Below are 6,171 nucleotides of genomic sequence, written 5' to 3' on the forward strand. Positions count from 1 at the left end.
GTCAAGAAATGTTCAAGCCCTTGGATGTAGGGTAAAGAAAGAGAGATCAGACTGTCACTGTGTCTATGTAGAAGGGGAAGACATAAGAGACTCCATTTTGAAAAAGACCTGTAGTTTAAACAATTGCTTTGCTGAGATGTTGATCATTTGTAGCTTTGCCGCAGCCCCTTCCTTTGACCCAACTTGGAGCTCACAAAAACCTGTGTTGTATAAAATCGAGGTTTAAGGGATCTAGGGCTGTGCAGGACGCGCCTTGTTAACCAAATGTTTACGAGCAGTATCCTTGGTAGGAGTCATTGCCATTCCCTAGTCTCAATAAACCAGGGGCGCAATGCACCGTGGAAAGCCACAGGGACCTCTGCCCTTGAAAGCAGGGTATTGTCCAAGGTTTCTCCCCATGTGACAGTCTGAAATATGGCCTCGTGGGATGGGAAAGTCCTGAATGTCCCCCAGCCTGACACCCGCAATGGGTCTGTGCTGAGGTGGATTAGTCAAAGAGGAACGCCTCTTGCAATTCAGATGGAGGAAGGCCACTGTCTCCTGCTTGCCCCTGGGAACTGAATGTCTCGGTGTAAAGCCCGATCGTACATTTGTTCAACTCTGAGCTCGGCGAAAAGCTGCCCTGTGGCGGGAGGCGAGACATGCTGGCAGTAATGCTGCCTTGTTATTCTTTACTCCGCTGAGATATTTGTGTGGAGAGAAACATAAATCTGGCCTACGTGCACGTCCAGGCATAGTACCTTCCCTTGAACTTAATAATGATATGGATTCTTTTGCTCACGTGTTTGTTTTTTGTTGTTGTTGTTGACCTTCCCCTTATTATCACCCTGCTCCCCTACTGCATTCCTTTGTGCTGAAATAATGAAAATCATAATCAATAAAAACTGAGGGAACTCAGAGGCCGGTGCCGGTGCAGGTCCTAGGTGTGCTGAGTGCCTGTCCCCTGGACCCACTGTTGTCTCCCTATACTTTGTCTCTGTGTCTGATTTCTTTTCTCCGTCTCTCATCCCACCCGACTAGAAACACCCACAGGTGTGGAGGGGCGGGCCACCCCTTCACTTGGAAAATCAGTTACACACAAACACGGAATGAGAGTCAAAAGACAATATGTCATCTTTTTGAGAATTTTATTCACTTCAAAACACATTAAACACACATATGTACAAAGGCATTCCAGAGCCCAGTTTTCGAGGCTGAGGAAAGACCCCGAGAGCGCTTCGCACAGCACGCTTCCCAGCGTCCGAAACACTGCTCTCAGGGCGGGGCACAGCGGAAGGGCTGCACCTCTCAGGGTTCCCTAACTTTTCCCTTATTCAGTCATCTAGACAGCAAATACACAGTAATTCCCCAGTTTCCTATTGACGTCCCAGCGGAAGTCTGACTCCTGCGCGTCACGCAGTTTCTGAGGCAACGAATCTCTGGCACGGAAGCTTTTCCTGGCGCGTTTCGGGAGAACCACGCCAACTACAACGTCCCTCACCAGAATTCAATGAGGCAGAGTCCCTGCATCTGCTCCCTGCCTGGCCTGGGCTCCCACATCCACAGAAGCGCCACAGCCGGGGAGCTTCGGAGTCACCGCACAGAGTGTGCTCTCTGCTCTGCGCTCCTCAGTCCCACAGTCCCCTCCAAGTCACGGGAGCTGGAGGCCAAGGAGCCCCTGCCACCTGCAGTCTCACTCCAGGTCAGAATCGCTGTCCTCTGAGGAGGAGGAAACCTGAAGGTCCTCATAGAGGACGCTCGGTGGGACACGAACACAGGGAGCCTCAGACTTCTCTGACACATGAGGGCTCTGAGCGAGGAAGGCTCCCGGCTTCTCAGGAGAGTGAAATGAGGGGGCGGCCAGGAGGCTGGAGCTCCAGCGTCCGTTTTCCAGTCTCCGGAAGAGCACTCTGAGAGGCTGGGCCCCATCATGGCCGGCCGCTGGGTGATGGGACATGGTGCAGGCCTGGGCAGTAGGCAGGCAAGGTGTGCTGTGCGGAGGCTGCCGGTCGACGCTGGGCACCTGGGCCGGTGTCCTCCTGCCCATCTGGGGCGACGTACTTGGTCCAAGTTCGGTTGCGGCTGGCGGAGGTTGGAGATTCTCCGGGGCCCGCAGCTCACCTCCCTGGATGGCGCTTTCGGGGATCTGGAAGGGACCCAGTCTCGGTTTCTTGGGGAAGTTCAGGCAAGCCTGAATCGGAGCCTGGGCAGGTCTCTTGGCTCCTGGCCCGAAGCTGAGATTGGAGCCTAGGCCCAAGCTGTGTGTGGCGGCTGGCGGGCAGGGCTGTGAGGTCACCGCAGGACGTTTGTCTTGTGCCTGGGGTCTGACGGCCTGGAGCAGGCCGTGGGTTTTGGAGGCAGCCTGGGGAACTTCTCGGCAGCCACCCTCAGGGCTGCTGTGTGTCGGCTTCACCACGAGGAGAGGCTCGGGGCCCTGGTGCCTGAATGCAGGCTGAGGGATGTCGGCCGCAGCCCCTGTCTGTCTTTCCTTTGGTCCAAGACTTGAGGAGGAGCTCAGGCTGGCTTTTCTGAGGGGAGACAGTGAAGCCAAGACGGAGCCCCTGCCAGACATTTCGGTAGCTGAGCGATCAGCGAGGACAGGGTCCACGCGCGGCCTCTTACTGGTTGTGTGGACCGGCATTGGCCCGCTTGCAACCTGAAAGAGAGGAAACAACACAGGTTAGAAGTTCCACGGCATGGAGCCAACGTGAAAATCAAACATATCCAAAGACAAGGTGCACACGCCATGAAATTCTTAGTACAGTATCGACAGGCGGTCCTTGGAAGTAGGGACAGATCCCTCCACCTGAGTGCTGATCAGGACAAGACACATGAAAGGTGCGCTCTCGAGCTATGTGTAGCTGATCTAAGCACACCATTGTTCAAAAGATCGCGTCTTGGGCATTAACTGGATCAAAGCGCCTCCACTCAGCCTTCCATGAAGTGGAACGGACTAATGCCCTTCCCGAGGCAGGTTGGTGGCTCAAGGGTACTCGGGACGTCTTCTCTGAACACATGCATGTTCCTGGGTTTAGCCTTCTCCACGTTTGGGGCCTCTGAGGGACTAATTTCCTCATGCCGCTAGGAACGTGTTGTTGGCAGGCTTGCCATAATTGGACAGAAAGAAAGCCACAGGAAATACGGCATCTTCAGATGCCTTCGCCTGGAATCCAATTGACCTGGAAGGATTGTGGAGTCCCTGACCCCAAGAAGGCAAGAAAGAGGGGTTCCCCGATTTCCTCCCGCAGACGGGAAGCTGAAAGGAAATCAACCAGGGTGACCTAGAGGAGAAAAGGACCAGGGGCCCGGGGTGACACTCACCCTCAGATGCTCGGAAGATTCCGTGGATCCTTTTCCATTCGGCAGCGGCTTCTCTGGAGGTTTCCCGGAAAACATGTGGAGGAGAGCGTTCCTCTGCGGGTCTTGTTGCCTGCAGAACAGAAAAAGGTCAGGCGGTGCCCCCTGGTTTTCCCCAGGAGACAGGGAGAACCCCGTCTGGGGCCCAGCCCCATTCCGTGTTTTGTGATACAGAAATGGACATCTGGTGCCCTTTCCGCCTCTGCACCTTCCCTCACGTGCCAACCTTCCCATCCTCCAGGTGGCCCTCTAGGCTTCCCGACTAAGGACTGTGATTTGGATTCCATCGCTTTTCCCGCTGTCGTGGGGAACCTGCACGAAGCGCCCCCGCCTCTCCCCGTCCCTGAATCTCCCAGAGCCCAAGGAGCTCCTGGGTGTGGAACCCCGGAGGACACGGAGCTCCGGCCTATTTCTCTGCAGCGCTCCTTCCCTGGCCCGGAGACGGAAAGGCACACGGTGTGCAGGTGCAGAGACACCATCTCCTTAGGAGGCAGCACCCTAAGAGTGGTGAAAACCCCTCCCACTGCTCACCTTGGTCTCTCTTCCTTCTCTCCCTTATCCTTGTTCAAGGGCCCCGGGTTGGCTTCAGCCCGGGGCTTCCATGGTTTCAGGTTTTCCTTCCCTTCCTTTTTCCCCAAGGTCGCTGGAACCAGGGCTGCCTTCCAGCACTTCATGGGGCACCTGGTACTTCTGGCCGTGTGGCCAAAGGCCCCGCAGTTTTTGCACTTGAGCTGTGGGTGGAAAGGAAGTGATGTCAGTGAGTGAGCTGAAGCCACAGGCAGCGATCCCACGTCAACATTGGGACGGATTGTGAATTCAGAGCTGAATAAGGATTCCGAAGAGGGGACACCGGCATGGGGGCCGTTAAGTGCTGGGAGAGTTCGGATACGATGTTCCCTCGCAAAGCCCTTGTGACGGAGTAACTCTGAAAGGAAGGACTCAAGGTTCCAAGGGGCACGATGGTGAAGCCGATGTCAACAACGCAGCCAAACGTGGCTACACAGGACTCGAAGTAGAAAGGGAGGTTGCCCCCAAGAGTCTCTCAAGGGACCTATCGGGCCGGGGAGAAGGTCCCAAGCCACGCCCACCTTGGATGGGAAAAGCAACCTGGCTGGTGGTGACAGAACTCTTTGGAATCCAACCCAGTCTCTGAGGACCGTGGGACACCGCCTCCCCCCGTTCCCCACCCCCACCCCGATACCCAAGAGATCCAGGGCTAGACTTACCCTGGGATCTTCTTCATCGGGCGGGGGAGACCTTGGCCCAACTGGGGCCCTCCGCTGCTTCTGGAGGGTCTGGGCTCTCACCAGTCTCTTGGCCCAAGATTTGGGGTCCCGACGTGCCATCATCTTCGTCTCCTGGGGGTTTTATGACCGCCTTTTTCAGGGGTGGACTGTTGGGCCACCTGAAACACACACAAACACACACATGTCGATGGTTAAGCACGTTGGATATTCACACACCCACAGGAAGCCACCTGCTAACTCCCTGCCTGTGTGGTCATGAGGAGACCTCACCACCAGTCGGTCAAATCTGTAGAACACAATGTGCTGTGCGCATCCTCGGATATTGTGTGTTCCTCTGCCATGACTACCTAGTCCAAGAGTAAACCCCACCTGCCACAGGGCCCGTGGCCTAGGTATGGGGGGTTGAGCTTTCAACCCCAAACAAACAACTGATTCTGGAGACTGGACTTAGGTCTCTCACGATTCACTCCGGTAGAAGACACGGTGATTCTATCTCCCTTGACGGACAGAATGATCGAAGACACAGGGCATGGCGTGTGCCACCCTTTGGCAGGTCTGCTTGAAGTCACGGATAAGGGATGCTTCCTGTGATAACTTGAATCGCTACTCTTGCCATTTCATTAGGCAACTTCCAAACACAAATTCATACAGAGAAGTTACCTTCCTCTCTACCGCACTAGCAGGTGATGGTCTTTCCTGTTCTATCTTTTGGCTTTAGCTCCAGCCCCTCTTTATTTATTTTCCTGGTATTTTACGCACACCACACGAATTCATCTGAACAAACGGGGAAGAAGTGCCGTATCGTATCGACGTCTTACACGGCTGAAGGGCAAACCCCCCTTTTTTCCAAAGTCCTTTTTCCATTTACCCACCAATTCAGCATGCTGCAGTACATTTCTTTTCGCATTCCCATCTTGGTCTTCTCCCACACGTGGAGACGGATATGTTGTCTCGTTTTCTGTTCCAAGAATTACTAGTAACGAGAACACATCCTACCCCACCAGCAAGCCCCAGTGTGATCGGTTTCTTTCGGCCTCCTTTGTCTCTTCCTCCCCCCGCCCCCCCCCCGCCAAAACCACTCAGGGATTGCGTGAAACAAACAATTGTTCAGCGAAACTAACCTGAAATTACACGTCTACTTTCTTTCCCAGGCTGGCGCTGAGATGGGCAGGTGCTGCAGCAGCCCGGCTGGAAGCGATGCAGCATCCAGGACGACGGAGGAAGGGGCAGAGAGGGACCTCCGCTTTCCAGGCTGCCTTTTATACTGCCTCTGGTCACCTGACATGGAACGTACCCTAACCTAATCAGTTACCTGTACCTTAATTGCAATTAACTTAATCCAATTACATGACCTGGAAAGGTCTATCTGCACAGCCCACTCTAAGATCCTGTCCACTGCTGACAGACATTCTAAAACCTACTTGTACAGCTGCAAGCTTTGAACAATAGATGTTCCCCGTCAGACATGTAACACTGGTGCCTGTACCCGTCTTCTTTTCCATCTTTTTTGTCGTTTAGTTTTGTTTTGTTTTAAAAAATGTGGTAAAATAGACACCTTTTAATTGGACCACATTTTGTCTATCTCGAC

At 54.1% G+C, this 6,171-nt stretch overlaps 1 protein-coding gene across 1 annotated transcript; it reads right to left on the reverse strand.

Moving 5' to 3' along the window:
* Positions 1–1,672: 1,672 nt before the first annotated feature.
* FAM90A7 (family with sequence similarity 90 member A7) lies at positions 1,673–4,685 on the reverse strand. Its single transcript, NM_001397387.1, has 4 exons — positions 4,563–4,685; positions 3,868–4,067; positions 3,301–3,409; positions 1,673–2,635 (listed from the first exon to the last, which is right to left on the reverse strand). The coding sequence occupies exons 1-4, from the start codon at positions 4,683–4,685 to the stop codon at positions 1,673–1,675; spliced, it is 1,395 nt and encodes a 464-aa protein (NP_001384316.1).
* Between the last annotated feature and the right edge of the window lie 1,486 nt (positions 4,686–6,171).

This window comes from Homo sapiens, chromosome 8, assembly GCF_000001405.40.
Source record: "Homo sapiens chromosome 8, GRCh38.p14 Primary Assembly".
NCBI classification, from domain to species: Eukaryota; Metazoa; Chordata; class Mammalia; order Primates; family Hominidae; genus Homo; species Homo sapiens.

Excerpts from the sequence above, each read along its gene's own strand:
- FAM90A7 (NM_001397387.1), bottom strand. The coding sequence starts at position 4,685 with ATGATGGCACGTCGGGACCCCAAATCTTGGGCCAAGAGACTGGTGAGA. Across the intron at positions 4,068-4,562 it reads CCGATGAAGAAGATCCCAGG|CTCAAGTGCAAAAACTGCGG; the intron begins GTAAGTCTAGCC and ends TTCCACCCACAG. Across the intron at positions 2,636-3,300 it reads AATCTTCCGAGCATCTGAGG|GTTGCAAGCGGGCCAATGCC; the intron begins GTGAGTGTCACC and ends CCTCTCTTTCAG.